At 38.7% G+C, this 21,938-nt stretch overlaps 2 protein-coding genes and 1 long non-coding RNA gene across 7 annotated transcripts in view, besides 1 other annotated feature; 2 read left to right on the forward strand and 1 right to left on the reverse strand.

Moving 5' to 3' along the window:
• LOC105379048 (uncharacterized) overlaps positions 1-5,938 on the forward strand; it is a 115,841-nt gene extending 109,903 nt beyond the window's left edge. Inside the window, exon 3 of the long non-coding RNA XR_948500.3 lies at positions 5,874-5,938. This is a non-coding gene — a long non-coding RNA (uncharacterized LOC105379048). The remainder of the gene's footprint in view (positions 1-5,873) is intronic.
• A 1,014-nt stretch (positions 5,939-6,952) lies between these two features.
• Positions 6,953-21,499, reverse strand: MTX3 (metaxin 3). Of its 4 annotated transcripts, NM_001363818.2 has the most exons (9): positions 21,395-21,499; positions 20,831-20,900; positions 20,397-20,473; positions 19,389-19,481; positions 18,699-18,881; positions 18,476-18,552; positions 17,187-17,344; positions 15,808-15,896; positions 6,953-14,031 (listed from the first exon to the last, which is right to left on the reverse strand). In NM_001363818.2, exons 1-9 carry the CDS (start codon positions 21,473-21,475, stop codon positions 13,921-13,923), a joined length of 939 nt encoding a protein of 312 aa, NP_001350747.1. In that variant the 5' UTR covers positions 21,476-21,499; the 3' UTR covers positions 6,953-13,920. The 4 variants fall into 4 exon arrangements, with proteins under 4 accessions (NP_001350747.1, NP_001161213.1, NP_001010891.4 ...); NM_001167741.2 differs by lacking the exon at positions 20,831-20,900; NM_001010891.5 differs by lacking the exon at positions 15,808-15,896.
• Positions 20,997-21,166: an enhancer, noted in NCBI's record as "active region_22727". NCBI's record gives its function as "activates an Ori minimal core promoter by ATAC-STARR-seq in GM12878 lymphoblastoid cells {active_cell/tissue: GM12878}" and the evidence as "EXISTENCE:reporter gene assay evidence [ECO:0000049][PMID:35858748]".
• Positions 21,569-21,938, forward strand: part of THBS4 (thrombospondin 4) — a 91,956-nt gene continuing 91,586 nt past the window's right edge. For both annotated transcript variants that reach the window (NM_001306213.2, NM_001306212.2), the window contains exon 1: positions 21,569-21,649. The gene's annotated coding sequence lies outside the window, so the exon portion shown is untranslated. The remainder of the gene's footprint in view (positions 21,650-21,938) is intronic.

A 21,938-nucleotide genomic window follows, 5' to 3' on the forward strand; every position in this document is an offset into this window, starting at 1 on the left:
CCAGACAAGCTCTATGTGTGCCCTCTGCCTTGAATGCTGTCGGATACTAGAGGCCAGCCCCACCCTTCTTTCATGGCTTTGTTCAAATGCCATCTTCCCAATGCCACTTATCCTGCCATATTTCATACTGTCACTTGCCCCAGCCCCAGTGGTCCCAGCCTCCTTGCCCTGCTTTACTTTTTTCTTTTTCCATAGCACATATCACTTCCTATTATGTGATGCAATCTGCTTATTTATTAGGTTCACTATCAACTGTCATCTCTGCTGGAGTGTAAGAATCACAAAGGCAGAGGTCTTTGTTTTGTTCACTGATGTATCCTGAACACCAAGAACAGTGCCTGGAACATAGGAGGCACTCAGTAGATGCTTATTGAATTAATGTTTTAGGCTTCAATCACAAGGGGCCCTAGTATAAGGCAAATATTATTGGACAGGTGATACATTCAGCTTCAGGTTTCCAATCTGAGCCATTAACATATCTTACAAGTTTGAACGAACTACAAATGAGATGTCTTTGATCCATTTCCTTTCTAGCTCACTCCTTCAACACATTTTTCATCCCAGTGCTCTGGTCCTCTCCTCAGGACAGGGAATGGATACAGTCAATAGTGTCTGTTCAGGGTTTATCCTCCCTAGAGTAATTTGGTCCTCTTTCTCCTTATTCCCATGAAATCTGAACTGTGATCCAATTTCTCAAGACCTTAAAACTAAAAAAAATGAGAACTAGTGACCCCATTTTAAGAAATATTGCAGATTGTAAATTAAGCCAATGCTGCTGTTAAACCAGATTTAGCTCATTGACATCTAGAGGAAATACAAACGATTGCCAGAACTTTATAGCAAGAGAGAAGGATACGGTATAGTGGGAAACCCAAGCAAAGGGCTGGATTGGGAGCTCTATGTTACTAGAGGCTAACATGAATGTCCCAGAGGAGCGAAAAAGAGGGACACAAATGGAAGGAACAGATCATGGGGCACACACCTTATTTTTGCCTAAGGTGGACAACTGGGCTAATTCACCAAAGGTTTTGTGAGCCCCCCATCGTGCTGCTGGCACCTAGGATAGCCGGGTGGAGGCTTCTCCAACAATTCTAAGAAATACCCATGGAATGAGAAATGCCCAGGCAGATATGTGGCAAGCGCTATCTCCCCTGGAGCTCTTCTGGAGACCCTGGGCCACTTCCACAATGCTTTCTACACTGAGAACACTCTACACTCTCACTCTACACTGAGAACACTCATTAGGATCAACACTGAGAACACTCATTAGGATCAACTAGAGGCAGGTTGAGTTTTTATTTCACTAAGTACCCAAGCTCTTGTGCATAATTAATCCTCAAAAAACTAATTTCTTTCCCAGCACTGAATTATCCTTGGTCAAAAAGAAATCAACATGATAAATACCAGGCACATAGTGGGCATTTGACATCCTTCTTCCCATGTCTCTCGTTTTCCTCTAGTACCCACCCTCCCAACCTCCTTTGAGATGACTATTTTCCATATTTGCTTCTTTCATGGCATATCTGTATTGCTTCGTATTTGGCCCCAGATGTCAGATTGGCTTGCATTACTCCAGGCTGAATCATTTGATTTCCTGTCCATGTTCCTAACCTTTCCAGATCCTCTTGTATCATTTCTCAGTCATTCCCGCTGTTTACAATACCTCTCAATTTAAAGCCATCTGCAAATCTCATTAACAAACCACTGACTCCTTCTCCCTCACGATCATAGGACATGTTGAATGAAACAAGACCTGACAGCAATCCTCTCCTCTCCATTTGAGGCACCATTTCTCTGGGTTACTTTAACTTATTATCATTTTTATATTATATTGTTATTGCACATGTACTCCCAGCCTAGGCATATCTAATATGTGAAAATCGGGATTCATCATTTTTTGAAATTAAGTTATTCACAGGCTGGGCGCGGTGGCTCATGCCTGTAATCCCAGAACTTTGGGAGGCCGAGGAGGGTGGGTCATTTGAGGCCAGGAGTTCCAGACCAGCTTGGCCAACATGGTGAAACCCCATCTTTACTAAAAATACAAAAAGTAGCCAGGTGTGGTGGCCCACGCCTGTGGTCCCAGCTACTCAGGAGGCTGAGGCACGAGAATCGTTTGAACCCGGCTGGTGGAGGTTACAGTGAGCTGAGATTTTGCCGTTGCACTCTAGCCTGGGTGACAGAGCAAGACCCTGTCTCAAAAAAAAAAAAAAAAAAAAGTTATTCACCCTACAAAAACTTAATTATATTAATCCCTTTACTAGTGACTTTTCCTAGTATACTTAAAATACTTTGCTTACAAAGTAATAATTACCCAACTTCTCAAGGCTGGTTACAGCCTTGAATATAGGTTTTTAATACCCTTTAGCTACATCTGTCTGTAAGAAATTTTTTCCTAGTAGAGTTTTTGAATAAGATTCAAATTCTTTCACATCAATATTAGTAAGCATCTGAGGAACACACCAGTTTTCTCACTGGCGATTCATTGGATCTTGGCTTCAACTTTTCTCACCCCTTTTCCTGATATGCTCAAAATATTTCCAAATCTCACTATTCTTCCTTCCTTAAAACTTTTTGTGTCCCTTCTATGTGCCAAGCACTGTGCTCAGTGCTGGGGTACAATAAAGAAAAGAGTCTCCATTCTCTGGAGCTGTTAATCCAAGAAAAAACTAAAGGGAAGTAGTACTTTTGAGTACCTGCCATATTCTGGACCTGCAATGTATATAATCCCTTTTACACCCCACAGAAACCCCATCTAATAGCTGAGAAAACAGGAGTTCAGAGAAGTTAATTAATTTGCCTGTGATGCAGAATACAAATAGACAATTTACAGAAGAAATACAAATGGACGATAGACATATGGAAAAAATACTCAACCATGCAGTTATTAAGTAACTGGTTTATTAAGTAAATAAAATGCTACTTTTTTACCTATCAAGGTGGTAAAGAGAAAAATAATACTCTACGCTGGTGGGGTTGCAGTAATACAGGCTCTCTTGCATAGGGCTGCAGGGAACATAAAGGGGCAAAATCCTCCTGAGAAACTGTATAATATGTAACAAGGACCATTATAAGAGGAACTCACCTTAGTGTCCATCGCAAGGGAATGAAATAAATGATGTTACATCCATCCAATGAAATTGTACATAGCCACTAAAAATCATATAGAATATGTAATGACCTAGAAAGATTTACCAAATATTAAATGAAAAAGGCATATTACAGAATAGTAGATACTACTGGATGACAATATATACAGGATTGTGTGTATGTGGGTGTGGAGAAAATAAAAGACTGGAAGAATGGATAATATGTTAACAGGGGTTATTCATAAAAGATACGACAGAGTTCTTTCTATTGGTATCTTCTACATTTCAATTATTTAAAAAACCCAAACATAAAAATGTTCATACATTCAGATCTAGTTATGCAACTGTATTGCAATAAACAGCAATGCAGACTAAGAGTCAAGTAACTTGCTCAGAACCACCCATCGGGTATATTACTTTAAGTCTCGCTTTCTAAGTCTGAAATCCATTTTCTTTCTACAACCTACTCATTCAGCTCCATAACCCCAATTATATCCTAACTAGAGTAATCCCTTGATGACCTTTCTAGTTTCTAGGCTTTTTATCACGAGATTAATTTCTCCCACCAAAATGGTTTGCTGTTCTAAAATCTCTAAGCTGGCACTCTTTCTGCGATAAGCAACTCTTTCTTTTCTCAAAGCCCGCTTGCTGGCAGGTCATCCCGATTTTCATCATCTGCTTTTGTTCTGTGAAATCTGATGAGGGCTTACGAGGTCTTCAGCATCTCTCAACAGCAAACATTGGTATTTGGGTTTGAACAATTCTTTTTGTTGAGCAGGGCTTTGTTAGCCCTAGCCAGCTTAAATGCCTTCAAGGCTTCACTGTGACAACAGAACTGCCACCACACATTTCCAAACACATCCCAAGGGTGGCCAATTGAGAACCACCCTATGATCGGCCACAGCTAACCCTCTGACCTCATCTTTCTCTACTCCCTGGCTTTCTGGCTCCATTCCAGCCACACTGGGCTCCTTGCTGCCCTTCTCATAAGCCCACAAAAGCAGGGATTTGGTGGTGGGGATTGGGGTGGAGGGGTGTTCCTTTCATCTGTACAACCAGTTCCTGTATTCAATTCCCTCTTTTAAGCACTTGATTTGTTTTTGATCCCTTTTAAATTTGATTCAGCTTCCCCAACTGTAAATGAACTAACCAATGAAACTAATCACTGATTCCACATGTTCCCAAGCTGTGCACTTCTACCGCAGGATCTTCCAAGGTCTGAACTGAAAACTGCGTCTGCATTTCCTTTTACCTTCTATGTTTTGGGAAGGTATCTCTAAACTATCTCTTCAGGACAGAAGAGAAAAACTACATGGATGCAAATCAGTCATACTGCATTTAAATTATGTGCATCTCTCTGTTATTGTTAGTTCCTTGAGGGCAGTCTTTGTAACCTTCTCTTTATATTCTCCCCAAATAAATGAGTGCCTGGAAATCATAGGTACTCAAGACCTCCACAGCAGCCTCCTCCCTGAGAGATTAGGTGGCTGGAATGTGATTAGACACGTGGGCATCTCCAGGCTTCCACACAGCAGTCATTACTGAGTGACAGATGTCAATCCTGGCATGAATGTGATTTGCAAGGCTCCAAAACGGAGATTGGATTAAATTTGCTTAAATTTCCATTAGGCTGTGTGTGTGTGTTATTTTTTCCTTTCTTTTTGGTCTTTTTTCTCTTAATTTCTACATCTGCTATATACACTCCCCACCGTTTTCTAAACCATTTTAGCAGCAGTCAACCCTGTGAATTGGATGTCATATGCAATACAAAATGTAAATCATGTTCATTAGATGAAAAACGCAATTTCCCCCCTCATGGAGAAAACTGGGACAACACATATCAGAAGGGGCACAATATGACAGTCTTCAAATAAGTCAGTGTGCTTCCTGCATTTAAAGCTGAAATCTGTTTGGTCTTAATTGTGATATTTGCAAAGTGTCATGCTTTCTTCTACATTGAAAGATTTCTTAGCTACTTCAAAATGTGAATTCGTGAGCGGACTACCTTCTCCAAACTAGGATCTGGGGAACCAATCCTAATTGTATTTATACATGCTAAAGTTCCCCTGTTCTTTCCACTCACGCAAAACGCAGGATAAATATAATAGCTTCTCTTCCACTTGGAAAAGCACAAGTTTTGGAGCCTTGAGTTGGCTGCACTGGAAATTAGAAATGTCTTTGATGAGGCACAGCTGTCTTCATTTCTTAGTCACAAATGTCTAAAGCATTCCAGGAGGCTGACTCATATACCTGGAGAGGGACCATGGTTTCTCATTTTTTCTCCTGAAGCCCTTGACTGGTCAGGAAGAGACCAGTTTCTCCTTTGTTCTACAGCTAGGAACTTAACTACAGGATGATCTTAAGTAAGATAAAACCTGACATTTCTTCACCACCATTTGCTTTTCATTCTCTTACATTTGTCTCAAACATAATGTGCAGCACTTAGTGATCTTTCTGCTATGGAGACTCACTGAAGACAAGATCCCAACATGGCAAAACTTAAGAGTTTTCTCACCAATAGCTGCTATCTGCAGCAAAGGAAAGAGAGCACCTTGTGTTGTAGCCTACCGTCCACTGAAGGAGATCAGTATGGACATCCAGGAGTTTCTGAGTTCCCCAGATAGTCTCAGACGAAAGTCAAACCTCTGAGATGAGCAATTAAGAACCAACATTTTTGAAACTCTTTGTCATATGGTTCGCAGCTTTGTGACTCTAAATAGTTGTCTTTCCGCAAATAATTCCATTATTCCACAACAGCAACTCCTCTTTTCTGTTCTCTTGCAGCAAGCAAGTGATCATTACTCACCACCTCAATCCACCCAAGGGCTTTCACCTGGAACCCAAAGTGCGTAAGTAATTAAGATTTGTGTTCTTTGGGGAAAGGAGTATCGACAAAGATGTAGCTTGCTTCTCATGTGAGAAAAGTACTTACATACCTACACAGTTCTACTTGGAAGGCCTATGCATTTTACTATATGTAAATTACAACTCAATTTTAAAAAAATCTACTAGCAAAGACACCCATTCTCTCAGGGAACTTGCCCTTATTTAACCTACAGCTATAAATGACAGGGTTCTCTAGAACCATATACTTTGTCCCATAAACGAAGCAGTAAAAAAACCTGAATATCTTCCCTCCAACTAAAATTACATTATTTTTCTCAGTTAAATCTTCCATTCAATTACAATGGACTATCACTATACTATCTGGGTGAGCAAAAGGTATAATTTACAAGAAACTTACAGAGCTGAAGGGATGAGAGAACTATAACCCTGCAAAGTTGTGTGAGCATCTGAGGTCCTACACAAACCAGTGGCCTAGAGAACAGGCCTCTAACCTCCCTTAGCCTGGAGTGGCCAGAGCACAAGTGGTCTCAACACATAACAGAAAGAATGGACATTTTCTGGCCAGGCACGGTGGCTCACGCCTGTAATCCCAGCACTCTGGGAGACCGAGACGGGTGGATCACCTGAGGTCAGGAGTTCAAGACCAGCCTGGCCAACATGGTGAAACCCCGTCTCTACTTAAAAAAAAAAAAAAAAATACCAAAAAAAAAAAAAAAAAATTTAGCCGGGTAAGGTGGCAGGTGCCTGTAATCCCAGCTACTTGGGAGGCTAAGGCAGGAGAATTGCTTGAACCCAGGTGGCGAAGGTTGCAGTGAGCCGAGTTCACACCATTGCACTCCAGCCTGGGTGATAAGAGCAAAACTCTGTCTCAAAAAAAAAAAAAAAGAATGGACATTTTTTAAAAACCCACTATGTCTATAGCTCAGTCCCAGCCCTGAACAACCACATTCAACCAGCAAAAAATTCTTCGCGATGAAAAGATTTACCTCAAAGAATAAATAACATTAAATCGAGAATTCATAAGCAGTCAGGAGATTTGAGATTTTTATTGAGAAAATAGCTATTTTGACATTATATCCAGTTTCTCATTTATCAGAATAAATTCTTTACAATATTGATCACCATCACCACTTTAGTGTATTTGTACATAGTCTCTGAGTAAAATATATTCACACTCGGCAAGGCTAGAATATTGAAATTATGGCCAACATTGCTTACTTTAAGATTGTTTACTTTATAAAGAAGCTAGAGTAGTTGTGCAACTAGAACAGATGTTTTTAAAATGTTTGCCATTCAAAGATAGGCTTGGTGGGACAAAACTAATATGCATACTACATACATATATTTCTTGTCTTCTTTACTGTCAATCTTTCAGAACAGTAACATGACATTACAAACACCTCAAATTCCCACTTCAAAATGAACAGAAAAATGGAAAAACATTATTTCCCATTTCATAAAATTAAAAATCAAGTCAGAAGAGAAGTAAAACTCATTTTTATGCATTTAACTTAAAAGCTTGAATACACGACTCCTCCTAGAGAGAAGGAAGCCAGAACTTCAGAAGTAGCCAGTGGTCCAAAGAATAAATGGCCCCATGACCTTCTCTATGGTTCATGACTTACTGAGGGCTGATGCAAACTCTGGCAAGTTATTTTTCATGATTTCCAAGGATCTGGGATATGTAAACGAAATGATTAAAAGACATTTCTCTGAATTTGCAAGAAGACGACTGAAGAATCAGAACAAAGATCCAACGGCCTTTCACGTGGCTACATGTTCACCATTACACCACAACTCAAAACCCACAGGCGAGCTTTCTCTCAAATACACATTCAAAATGGTGTTCCAAATAATCCAATTGTATACATTGCAAAGACACACAAAATGCCTCCTTACACACGATTAGTAATCTGGTTTTAGACTCTGAAGTGATACCAAACATATTTAGCTAACCCTCTCAAAATTGCAGGCCTAGTGAGGTTTAAATGTTTTAGGATATAGAATCTGCTTAGAATTTAGTGAAAACTATGAACCGTAGACTGTCTTCGGTAATGAACAAAACTGGAAAATATTAAACTTCCTTTGCTTTGTCACTGAGCAACTATAAGCTTTCTATGATGTATGTATCATACTAGCTTGTATGTGACTTTAGTGTCATAAACACCCATTGCCTTTTTGGCACTTTTAAAGTACAGCCAGAAAAGGTTTGGAAAATTGTTCTGGAAATACAAGTTGGTTCCCTCTGTCTCATGGATGCTTAGGAACTGGGTAGTCTGCTGAAACCACCAGTTCAGCAGACCCTTGTACAGCTGTTCCCGGCCAACTGGGATCCTAAGGAAACAGGCTGGAAGAGCCAGGGGCCTCCCTCACAAATGCCTAAATAACCAACATATCTATGCCGACAGCCATCCCTCTCTCAATGCCATGGTCCAAGGGAGTCTTGACCTGTCTCTTCCCATTTTACTACCACTGGCTAGAGGGGCACCCAACAACAAGAAACCTTTGTAATGAGTATGAACTAGCAAAAACACTGTAGGGCAGCATTTCCTTAGGTGTATCTCTCAGAACATAAATCCCACAAGATACCTACTTTTAAAAAAATCTGGCCGGGGACAGTGGCTCATACCTATAATTCCAGCACTGTGGGAGGGTGAGGCGGGCAGAATCACCTGAGGTCAGGAGTTCAAAATCAGCCTGGTCAACATGGTGAAACCCCATCTCTACTAAAAATACAAAAATTAGCTGGGCGTGGTGGCAGGTGCCTGTAATCCCAGTAAATTGGGAGGCTGAGGCAGGAGAATCGCTTGAACCTGGGAGGCGGAGGTTGTAGTGAGCCGAGATCGTGCCACTGCACTCCAGCCTGGGTGACAAGACCAAGACTCCGTCTCAAGAAAACAAAAACAAGAAATCCATATTAAAATAAATTAGGGAAATGATGTATAAAATAGAGGTGCTTCTTGGAGATTTAAAATGCACATTAGCGTATCAAAGGTCTGAAAGGCCAACAGTAACTCAACTTTGTCTAACCCACTATTTCCCAAACTTACTTGGCCACAGAACCCTCTATTCTCCTAACAATATATTCTGACAAAACACTCCTTCAGGAACTGCTTCACCCAGAACCAAACAGGTGAGTTTTAAAAAATATTATAGCATAATTTCAAATGATTAATAAGGATACAAAGAGACTTATTTTCCTGTCTTTTGTTATTTTGTCTACTTATTTTGTTCTGAATAATCTTCTATCACATTTCCCCTTCTATTCACAAACCTTCAACTCGAGTTACCCTTTCTGATACCTTTGTTCAAGAATGTTAATTCTTATCAGAAATCCATGGCACACTAGTCTGGAAAAAAATAATTTTGTGTCTTTTTAAATTCCTAGAGTACCTCTCCACTTCAATCACAATTTAAGTCCAGGGCAGGTATCCTGGGCTCCTAGCAAACACTACACCCCAACAAGAGTTTGGGAGCCAAATTATTTTGCAAACCCTTAAGAACACAAACTAAAACTAATTTATCCTTATATCTCTGCAAAAATTAGCATTTTGAACATCCAACGAAACTTCAAGTTTGAGGATAATGGGCTTACTGACCTGACCTTTGATTTCACGTAACTAACAACAAATTTCTTTAAAATCTGGTTAAGAAATATGAAAATATTGAAAAGTAAACATAAATTCCACAAAGCTGAATGGCAGCAAAAAATATTTCTTAACATCAAGAACATATACAAAAGATGATCATTACCACCCAAATTATCTCTGTTGCTCAGGATTTCAGTTATAAAAATAGCCAAATCAAGACAAAGACAATTACAGCTTAAAACGAAAAGCTACACCTTCTTCATTAAAGGTGAGCATCTTGTCACACTGTGCATATGGAGAGAGAACAAGTACAAGGCACGGGAGAACTACCATGTCAAGGGACAGAGCTTTTTCAAAATATTTTATCCTCAGAAGTAAACCCCACTACCATAGAAAGAAAAAAATATAATTAGATATTTTAAATCACAGCATTTTTGACTTCCTAGGGAAAAGGAGTTTTTGGTTTTAGGGTTTTTTTTTTCTTTTCTGGTAAGGCAAAATAGATCTTTAGATATCATTTGTTACAAACATGAGTTTTTCTTAAGAATGAAATAAAAATTCTATTTAACTTCTATCATATATTTATTCAACTAAGTTGAATACTATGTTTAGAAAATTAAAGTTTTAAATCATGGTTTATATATAGATAATGATACATTTAATCTATGAATTTACTTTAAAACCACTTTTATTTTGAAATACTTAAGACTCACAAGAAGTTATAAAAATAGTTCAGAGAGATCCCAGGTACCCACTGCTTAGCTTCCTTTCTTTACATGTAAGCATTTATATCTAGGTTTTAAAAGGGTTGAAGTTTTTGACAGTTGATGAAAAACTGTCAAAAAATTGTAACAAGCCTGGTAAATGCATATTTTTGGAGGAGGTTCTAAGGAAACACTACCAAGTTCAAGTACCACTTTTATCACATGCAGCTGCCTTAACCAACAGGTTTTCTAAGATACTATCCCCCTTACCTGTTTCTGCCTCTTTCAATGGTGTTTTTCCATTTTTACAGACTTCTGAAAATTTTAGCTTTGATTGAAATAAGCTTCCCCATTCCTTCATGTTAATATATCTAGCAATATTGAATAGAAATTATAAATGGAAATAAAAATGCTTGCTTTTATAAAATCTCCAGTCTCGCAGCACCCCCAATATAATACAAACAAACTTAAGTTGAAATTTGGTTTGTTAATGCCCACCTTGTGTGGTCAAAACACAGTTTTGAAGGAATGACCACCTTCAATGTTCTTTACAGCTTCTTTAGTGTTACTTAAAAAAAAAAAAAAAATCAATCTGATGGATGATTGATGGTAGTTTGTTCATGGAAGATCTTCATCTTATGGGAATTATCTAGTTTTTCTAATCATATACTACCAACAAAAATAAACACAAGCATGTTCCCTTTAATCATATTATCCTCCACCATTACTTCCAAAAGGCATTGGCTCACAGTATTCTGTTTAAGATTGTGGACCATTTATCCCAATGAACTCACTCAAACTTTATCTAAAACATATCATGACAGGCTGGTCCAACAGTCTGTTCAGTCTGAAAAAATGTTCTGTGCTCTGTTCAGATTGACAAAATGTTCTTTTTGGCCGGGCGCAGTGGCTCACGCCTGTAATCCCAGCACTTTGGGAGGCCGAGGCAGGTGAATCACTTGAGGTCAGGAGTTCAAGACCAGCCTGAGCAACATGGTGAAACCCCGTCTCGACTAAAAAAAAAACAAAATTAGCTGGGCATGGTGGCACATGCCTGTAATCCCAGCTACTTGGGAGGCTGAGACAGGAGACTTGCTTGAACCCAGGAGGTAGAGGTTGCAGTGAGCCGAGACTGCGCTACTGCACTCCAGCCTGGGCAACAAGAGTGAAACTCTGTCTCAAAAAAAAAAAAAAGTTCTTTTCTAAGAGCTTCCTGTATGTGTGGCTGCTCCCTAAAGTACTTTGTGCTCAGTTACAGCTTCCTGTCATCTCATTTACTTATACATAAATAGCTCAACTAAGTAACCCAACATATAAACTCTCACTAAACTCACATGTTGCATCTTAGAAAAGGTGATCTGGAAGCATTATGGACTATAGTGAGAATGTAAGGCTAACAGCAGTTCAAAGTAGGGATGACACAAAAACAAATAAATCATATTGACAGTCATTCCCTCTACTAAAAAAGAATAATACTTGTTATTCTAAAATGACCTCTTTTGATTAAAATTTCAGTTCATAAAACATTACAGTATGCTTCTTTATCAAAGTCTACATATCAGAAGAACATGAGCTCCACGTTCCTGTAAAACTTTAAACACATTTTTCTTCCTAATAGACATTAGCAGTTTTGTTGAAAAGAAAAATTGACATAACCTAGCATTATCTTTTGACTTTGCCCATGGAGAAACTTGGAGTTAAATTTACTACTTAATTTTAGAATCTGTCAGTGTTGATATGGTTCTATAAATTTTTAATTTTTTTAATTTAAATTTTTAAAATTTTTAATTCTTTAAAATTTAAAATTTTTAAATTGTCCTGTTTTACATGTAATATACTTGTAATATACATGTAATGTACTTGTACGTTATAACTGTAATATATTTCAAATACTTTTTGGAGGGTCTGATATAAATCTGATATAAATTAAAAATGACTGGCCTTGACCACAGCATAAGCAGATGTCTGATGAATGTGCTAACCACCCTTCTCCAATATACATCCATCCTAGAGGACAATAAAGTCTCACAGTCATGATTTCCAATATAACATATTTAGGTTTCAGACTGCTGGAATAATAGATTTCAGATTGCTGGAATCTAATAATCTGCCTTTGAAGATGACTGACACACACAAACACACACACACACACCCTGTTGTAGAAGTAATGTGCAACTCATGAGGTACTTTCCCTCATCCAAACAGATGACCAAGATTTTGAAGACTACCTTATTTCTCACTTAGTTAAAACTTTCAAGAAAAAATATTTAGAATGACTTAAAGACTCTTGTATAAATAACTACCTAAATACAGAACAAATTGGGAGGATGTGGGTCAAACACAGCTGAGCTCCACTCAGCTCAAATTAGATGAGTCTTTTGACTACAAAGCTCATTTTCTTAACATATGGGTTCCTGCACGACTTGATAAGATTTGCTGAGCACCACAGTAATCTTTTAAGACACTAATCAAAAACATGGTTCTACATTTTAAAAACCTCAGAAGTAGTTTTAGGACAACAGAAGCACCTCAACCACTAAAATAAGCAAGTTTCTATTATAAGTAAAATTACCACACAGCAAATCCCTTAACAGTTCAGCAACCAATAAATAGAAAATATTCATTAAAAGCTGCTATTTCTGATTGTTCCTTTGTATTCTTCGACTATAAGTGAAACATATGAAAAATAATTGGTTGTCAGAAAGCTTTTGACTACATGATATGCATCTTATGAAAGAATATGCATCTTATGAAAGAATATGAGCCAAGCATAGAAAACTTGGACCAGATGCACAGTATTTCTACTACCCTGGCCATGGGCTCCTCCTGAGTAGTGTCTAACAAGTGGGCAATTTCAGTAAGAATTTTACAGCCTAGCATAGTAACGATAACCAGTACATTCACTTCTTCTGGAATTAATACAAGAAAGACAACTGAAGATGTACTACAAAGACATAGGTCTAAAACTGCCACATTTGCCCAAGTAAACTAAAAGAACTCTTCCTAACCTATATCGAACACATCAGCAAAGACCAATGTTATACTGAAATGAGTATTATCAGATGTTATTATATGTAACCACCTTTAATATTTATCTATGTGCTACTAAACCCCCAAAAGATTAGACTTATGAGAGCATAATTAAAAAGCACATTCCTCCTCACTTTTTAAAGTTAAATATGGTCTCTTCTACTGAAGCAATTTATCTTTTTCTGGTTCCTAAAATAGGCATCAAATTTCTAAACAGAAGTAAAAAGCCTCAGCCAAAAAGCCACATATTAGGTATTCAGCCTGGTCTAAGAAAACTAAGTTAATAAATTGAATAAATTAAATCAAATAAATTAGGAGTGCACATTCAGAACAGAATTGTAGCCTTTGGTCAGCAACATGTGAACCAAAGGCAAAAATCTGCCATGATTAAGGCAGTTCTTTGTATACAGTACGATGTGTTTTTCTTCCCCGCCCCCCCAACCAAGTTCATTTAGCATTCTCTTTGTTATTAAAAATGCAGTGCCAAGCTAGAATACAAGCTTCCTAATAATAATAGTAAAAATAGATGGCATAGAAAGTTCCTTTTGGTTTAGAGTCTTCCTTAATACCTATTATGGTATCTTCTTTTTGCCTTCACACACTTGGTGTAAGAGATTACTGCAACAATCGTTTGACTTTGGCCACAAACCATGACTACTCTCAGGGCGAAAGCCGTTGGAAGGAATTATTTTCTTCTTCTGCTGGAGTCAATTTAAGTGTTGGCAGTTTCCGAGGAGGAAGCTGAGGGCTTTGGCGAAGATTGTCATCCATCTGTAGAAAGTACAAAAGATACATCTGACTAATGCTGTGGCACCGCTTATGTGGACTGTGGCCTCCCCATCCAAACTATAGCCTAGAAGAGTACAGAACCATATGTTTCCTGGGCTGCTAGAGAAACCTTTTTCTTACAAATAATCTCAAGAATTCTAAATGTCATACCTCAAATACCAGCTGACTCAGTTTCTGTAAAAAGCAACGTGGCTCATTCCTGATACCTTCACAGAATTATAGTTAATTCCACAAAATAAATATTCTACTGAACTCAACCATAACTTAAAGAGGTCTTCTGATAGTAAGTGTAAAAGCGGTACTGTTACACTAAGCTCCAGTTTGCAAACTATGTTCACGTACAGTATCTTATTTGATCTTCCCGATACGCTATGAAGAAAAGGCAGACACAGACCTTCTCTGTTGTACAGATGAGCAAAACGAGACTCTGTAAGGTTAAGTGATTTGCCCCACGTCACAAGCTAGTATGAGAGCTGAAACTTGAACCCAGGTCTTCTGATTCCAAAACTATTATTCTTTCAACTATACTTCTTTACCTCAATGAAAATGACCTGTATTCCAATCAAAAAAGACCAGCTTTTTAAAACTGAGAATATGTAGACCAAAGGAAGCTAGTACATTAGGCAAAAAGAAAGATAAATTCTTTAAATGTAATCCAGTGGTTTTCCAAACACTGGATCACTTCTAAATGAGGTAACCCACATCAAGCTCAAATAACACAGTGGTGGACCTCAAAAACTGTTAGCCAGTGTCATCAGGCCTCATTGCCCTATGAGTTTGTAAAATAGTAAGTATTACTATTTGTATCAGGAAAAAAAAAAAAAGCAAGCTTATCAGTTACAGGGGAAAAAATATGTAACCTCTTTGTATTTTTCCTAGTAGAATCACACTTGAAATTTCCTTTGTTGGTTCTCTCCCCTACCCAGTTCCTCAATGTTTCTCTCATGAAAAGAACACCCCAAGTGGCAAAATATCTACACTGGTGAAAAAACTATAAACTATATCTAGAGCAGAGAAGAACAAGAAGGAGAAAAAAATAAAACTTTCATGTGGAAAGAAGAAAAGAACACGGTGCTGTTAATAAGAAAGGATAAGCCCAGTGCTTACAATCTTAAGAAACATTAAGAGACAGAGAGGCAGACACACAAGCAAGAAGTGTTTTTGCTTTGTTTTTTTTTGTGTTTTTTCTGATGGAGTCTCGCTCCGTTGCCCAGGCTGGAGTGCAGTGGCACGATCTCAGCTCACTGCAAGCTCCGCCTCCCGGGTTCATGCCATTCTCCTGCCTCAGCCTCCTGAGTAGCTGGGACTACAGGCGCCCGCCACCATGCCCGGCTAATTTTTTGTATTTTTAGTAGAGACGGGGTTTCGCCGTATAAGCCAGGATGGTCTCGATCTCATGACCTCATGATCTGCCCGCCTCGGCCTCCCAAAGAGCTGGGATTACAGGAGTGACCCACCGCGCCCGGCCGCTTTGTTTTTTTAAAGCAAATCTTTTGGATTTCCTAGCTTAAAGGGTACTAACTGTGTGGCAAAAGTAAACCCAATACTCTTATCTGATCTTTCCCCAATCAGGCCACTGTTGGCTTCAAAACACTATGTTACATACAACTTTAGTGAAAGTATATTTAAACAGTTTTCTGAAAAACAAACTCTATAAAAAAAACTAAAAGGGTACAGTTAATGTGTGACCCAAATGACAATATTAGCTACCGAAAGGAAAATACTGAACTATGATAAAATGATTGAAGTAGACTTGACCTTTTCAATCAAGTTGGATTCCTTATTTACAAGTTGTGTGAGTTTCTGCAGATTTGCATCTACCGTTTCTTGTCCAGCTGGAGAGATGCCTAAGAAGCCAGGACAGAAATCAGAGAAAGACAGGAAATTTTTAAAGCCTTTAAAGCTATTTAGATTGAAAGAATTTTGAGTCTACCCACCCTGTCCAGTGCCCCACCCTCCCCAAAAAAGGCAAAGAGGAAAACCATTCTGGGTTTAAAGGCGAAGAGAGGGATTCGAATGCTCTAAAACTAAACCCTGAGCAAAACGGACAAAAATTTATCCACTAAGTAGACACTGCTAACCAAGTGTTCTGCAATTGGCCACAATAATTAGTTTTTTTTTTTTTTTGAAAAAAAAAGCACAGTAGTCCTCATTTCCTTCTCAAGTTTAAGCTATTCCTTTCTCACACCCATTTCAAATAGGTCTTTGGTCACAACTATCTGGATAGTTTTCTAAGGCAGTAACTCCCAAAAAGTTGCCCACCAGACATCCAAAGTATTCAGAAGAACTTAAAAATACAAATTCCTAGGATTGATGCCTAAAAGATTCTAATTTAGTAAGTCTGGAATAGGACCCAAGATTTTTTATCTGTCAAATAATCAGGTTTGCTAACCACTGCTCCCAAGTTAACACGGTTGAACATTACTTAATTTCATGACTCCCAAACTACTAACCCCTTCCTGTATACAGAATACATAACCCACCAAAAAATAATAAACTGTCCACCTAAGCCAGCTATCTTTATAACCTGTTTCTTAAAAGGACAATTTCAGCCAACCATCCCAATAGAAATTTAGTATCTGAATCACTTAAGCACAAGGCTCCACTCTCTCAATGAAGCACATCCTAAGTAACAGGTGCCCTCTATTTACTATACTTCCATTCTGATGCAATCAGTTTTCAAGTAGTGGAATCATGGCAGTGTACCTCACCAAAATCAATCTGCTGCTGATTTCTGTTCATGCAGGAAAATGCTAGAAGCAGCAGGTAAAAATCATTTAAAGTAATTGTCCATTTGCATTAGGATAAATACTGTTTTTCAGCAAAGACTTAATACCTGTGGTTTTAACCTTTTAGAAGAAAATGACCCACTTCAAAGGGGTAATATTTAAAGAACAAGAAGAAGAAACGTAAAAATCCAGCGGAATAGATAAAAGGCAAATATCTATTTATCTATTTAAATAAGAACTAACATGAGAATAAAAATGAAGTCGGAAAAACACAAATCCTTGAAGTGCTATAAACCACTATTTAAAGACAATACACAAACTTCTAAAATTAAAATAAGTAGTGGATTTTGCTTATACATACATAGGAGAATATGCAAACAAACATTAGCTGAAAAAGAGCCAGCTTACCTCCAAGACTAAGCCTAAAATAACTGCTCAGGATGTCATCACAAAAGCGACAGAGGTTGGAGAGCTGTTTCAGATGTTCTTGTAGCTGAACTTTAGGAAACCGTACTTTGTAAAGAGGTGCAAGAAAACCAAAAACATAGGCATCCAAGGTAGAAGGCCTAGAAATAAATTAAGGATTTTTAAAGCACATAAGACAATATTAACTGAAGGCCGGGTGTGGTGGCTCATGCCTGTAATCCCAGTACTTTGGGAGATCAAGCGGGGGCAGATCACTTGAGGTCAGGAGTTCCAGATAAGCCTGGCCAACATGGTGAAACCCTGTCTCTACTAAAAATACAAAAGAAGTCGGGCGTGGTGGTGGGCACCTGTAAACCCAGCTACTTGGGAGGTTGAGGCAGGAGAATTGCTTGAACCCAGGAGGCGGAGGTTGCAATGAGCCAAGATCATGCCACTGCACTCTAGCCTGGGCAACAAGAGCAAGACTCCATCTCAAAAAAAAAAAAAAAAAAAAATTAAATTAAGGATTTTTTTAAGCACATAAGAAAATACTAACTTGGGATGGTGTTTAATTTTTTTTTCAAAATTCTCAATTCTGAATTACACAGTATAGTCTCTTAAAAGGTTTACTATCCATTTCAGTTTACAAAAATTATGCAACCAAGGTTTTACTCATTGAGTAGCTTAGACTCTAGGAGAAAATGAAATTGTCTTTATAGATTCATTTTTACTCACAAATGTTAGACTGGAGGCAGAGTGGGAACAGTCTGAGATGTTTTAAATTCACATATGCAGCCTATTAAGTCAATGTTAGATTATCACTGGTAGAAAAAGTTTCCTATAATAAAAGCCCATTAAATTTTTTTCTTGTTTGTTTTGGTTTTTTGACATGGAGTTTCACTCTTGTCACCCAGGCTGGAGTGCAGTGGCGTGATCTCAGCTCACTGCAACCTCCACCTCCCAGGTTCAAGCGATTCTCCTGCCTCAGCCTCCCAAGTAGCTGGGATTACAGGTGCCCACCACCACACGCAGCTAATTTTTTGTATTTTTAGTAGAGATGGGGTTTCGCCATGTTGGGCAGGTTGGTCTTGAACTTCTGGCCTCGGGTGATCTGCCCAACTCGGCCTCCCAAAGTGCTGTGATTACAGGTATGAGCCACCACACCGGCCTAAATCTTGTTTTTTTTAAGTAAAAAACTCATCTTTTGGGGAGATAAGAGGACTTGCTTTAAATAGCTGCTCACTGAATATATGTGCACAAAATACCAAAATGATTTTTAAGGGAATACTCACGTATCTCCAAAGAAAAACTGAGATGTTCCCAATCTGTTTGATAGAAGATTTAGGCACTCCTTGGCATCTCTGTATATCTAATAAGGATGAAATTATATCTCAAAAGTAGAAAAGATACTCTAAAACTACTTTTGAGGAAGGCATCTCTAGGTAAACTCAAGTCTGCATTTTATCTTGTCCTTTCTCTCTAGGGCCCTTGCTTGAAGAATAATCCATACTATACCTGTGCTTCCACTTCTCGGAGGTGGTAGAGGGGAGGCTGTCCTCTGGTCAGGAGAATCCTATTCAGTGCTCCCTTAGACATTCTTCCAGGCAGGATCAAACTCAAAGGAAAAGGAATTTGTGAAGCAAACCATGGCTTTGTCACAGTAAAGTAATTGTCACTCTCAACCCAGAATGTGTGAAGCTGCAAAAGAAGAGAAAAAACACTACAAGGATGTTCTTTTATTAAATGAAAGATCACTCAATCAACATGAGAGTTTTTCATAAATATCTTTATATGAAGTGTCTTCATACAAATTTTCCAGTTAGAATGACTCAGGATAAAACAAGATTATTTTAAATGTGTGAGTTTTGTTGACTGCTATCTTCCAAACACCCAGAACAAGGCCTGACACATAGCAGGTGTTCAATAAACATTTGTTGAATGAATGAATTACACCCAATTCTATACATGGAGCAAAAAGATCCATCTCCCACAAAGAATTTCCAACATGACATTTTATTTTACTTTGTTGTTTCACATACTAGTTGAATGCCTAACAGAATCCAGTTTCACAGTAATATGAAGGAATTAAGATTAACATATAAGTAAAATTTTCTCTTAAGACTTTTCTCATTGGTTTTTTTCTAAACAGACTATGTACATTTGCAACTAGGCTACTAAAATACTGTAATATTTAAGAACACTCACCACTGCAGGGAGAAGCTTCTCTTCGAGGAGAGCAATATAAGCCAATGTATCTGCCCCTTGTTTTGCTGAGAGTTCATAATCAGCATTATATTTCTATTAAAAAAAAATAAACCAAAGAAACTCAGAAGTCAAAGAGCAGCCCAAAGACAGTAAAACTAATCAAATCAGGATTCATATTTTTCCTTACAAATAGCAAACGTGGTATTAAAATGGGAGAAAGAGAAATACAAATCCAGTGAAACCTATTGCTTAATGCACATAAAGTTCTTAGCACAGCATCACATACACAATATGGTCAATAAATGTTACAATATTAACTACTATTATTTTCATGCTTGTTAATGACCTAGTTCAGTGCATGGCATGTAGTACAAACAAAGCAACTATTATTTTTAACAAGAAGGAAACAGTTCCAATTGGCTGTGTTTCTCCCCAAGACAAAAGAAAAAACCTTCCAATTTATAAAAGTTCAAAATGTTATTGACACAATTTTTTTAAGTACAGTATTGGCAAAACAAATAACTTATCCATTCATATAAATCTTTACATGTTTAAACATTTTGGATACATAATTCTCTACTGTTAAAACATTTAGATACATTATTCCATAAAACTGCTATTAAGAGCTTTTTAAAAATAATATAGTTGCTAGTTGGTGAGAGCTCAGGTGTCATGCCCAGCACAAAATGTGTACCAACTATGTGACAAAATACACAATCCTATCAATAAGTTTAATAGTGAAAATGGCTAATTAAATCTACTTACATACAAATTTCAATAAAATTCAAGCAAAGTTTATTAAAATATAAACTGACTACCTCTTCATATGACTTTCAAATCACAGAACTCATGCTTTAGAGCAGTGATTCTCAAATCTATTTTTACATCTTGTCCCAGGTATCTCCAATTGTCTAATGAGTTGGCAAAAAAAAATAAATAAATAAAATAAAGCCCAACATGCAGGGATCAACAATCTACCAATCTACTTCTTCAAAGTGAACCACCCACCTGTTTTCTTAAAAAGTTTAGTATTTTTGCTGGCTGAGAAACCATGTCGTCTTCAGTTGTCAAAATTGGTACATCGCCTATAATCAAAAAACAGTTTACATACAAGGACACAGTGTGATTTCCTCTGAGAGATTCCAATATCCTAAAAACTATAGCAGTTGCACATTTAGAGGGGAAAAAATGAGTAAGCTTGTCTTGGTTTTTTTGCTGTTTCACAAAGAGCGGTTCTAAAGAACATTTTCGTTTCTCATAATTTCCAGTGATTTCGCTTGCACTTTGAGGTATTACTCAGAATGATCAAACCATAAACAACACAGAGCCAAGGTCACGGTAAGAAACTAAATCCTCAATATTATAGCTATATACCTCACAGCTTTAAATGGAAGAAGAAAAAAAAGAGTGCAGAAAGGGGAGTGTAAAGGTTTACACTATACCTCTTGAACCTCTCCAGGTGTTATCTATCACATTGACTTTCAAGGGTGCACCAGAAAATTTGGCATAAGCCTGAAACAGAGTTTGCAATCAAACATTTTAGACCAAGTGCGTAATGCAAAGCTGCAGAGCAGCTTTACTTCACAGCCCCATCCCCCAAAGGCAGAAGGCGACTGATACTGAGGCCGCATCCCTCCCCGTGATCTCAAGTAGGGACGCGGGCGCCAGCCACCCGGCTTTCGAGGACTTTGCTCCCCAAAAGGTCCTGGGGATGCAGAGTAGGGAGGGCGCGCCCCTTGCTTCGGGGTTTCACTCCACCGCCCAGACAGCTTTGTGAGGCGGACAAAACTCGGAGCCAAGCGGAGAAGCCTTGATGTCGCCGCCGGCCTTCGGCGGGGGTATCGGCCAGGTTGGGACTCGTCGGTGGGAGGGAGCCCAGGGCAATGCAGCGTGCAGCGGCTCGGCCCTCCTGGACCCCGCAGCGCAGCGGGAAACTGGGGCAAGTCAGCCTGGCGCCTCCAGCCCCGCCCCTTCCTCCTGCGCCCTGGCCCGCGAGGCGGCCTCACCATCACCACCAGGGACTCGCTGTGAACCGATGGGAGTCCCCAGCCGCCTCCCCAGCAACTGAGTTCCAAGGGGGCCGCCATCTTGCGCGGGCCGACCTTTACTATCCCGGAAGTACTTTTCCTCCTAATTTCCGGCACGTGAAACGCGGGGGCGTGGCTAAGGGAGGGAAGGGTAATTTGGGGGCTCTTGAGAGATGAGAGAAACAACGACTGGAGGGATTAAGAAGAACTCTTAGGAGCAGCTTGGCCTAAAGGGTAAGAGTTGTGTGCCTTAAGTCAGACCCACCAGTAATTCTTCAAATATTAATATTTATTAGATCCCTAGAGTGTTCCAAACCCTTTGAACATTAAATCTGTGTGATGCCTAAATTAACCTGTTTGTAAAACAGGGATGACCCAGTATTTACAAGATTGTGGTATTTACAATGTCGGAGAGAAAGAACTTGGCACACAGGAGGCACTCAGTAATTGTTCAACCCCTTCTCCCATGTATGTGGCCTCTGCCTGCCTTTCCAGCCTCAACCTGTTCTCACCCTCATGTTCA

The sequence above is a fragment of the Homo sapiens genome, chromosome 5, assembly GCF_000001405.40.
Source record: "Homo sapiens chromosome 5, GRCh38.p14 Primary Assembly".
NCBI classification, from domain to species: domain Eukaryota; kingdom Metazoa; phylum Chordata; class Mammalia; order Primates; family Hominidae; genus Homo; species Homo sapiens.

Coding starts and splice junctions, on each gene's coding strand:
- MTX3 (NM_001363818.2), bottom strand. CDS start 21,475: ATGGCGGCCCCCTTGGAACTCAGTTGCTGGGGAGGCGGCTGGGGACTC. Junction 18,553..18,698: donor TCCGAGAAGTGGAAGCACAG/GTATAGTATGGA, acceptor CATCCTTATTAG/ATATACAGAGATGCCAAGGA. Junction 15,897..17,186: donor TTTTAGGCTTAGTCTTGGAG/GTAAGCTGGCTC, acceptor CTGGCTTCTTAG/GCATCTCTCCAGCTGGACAA.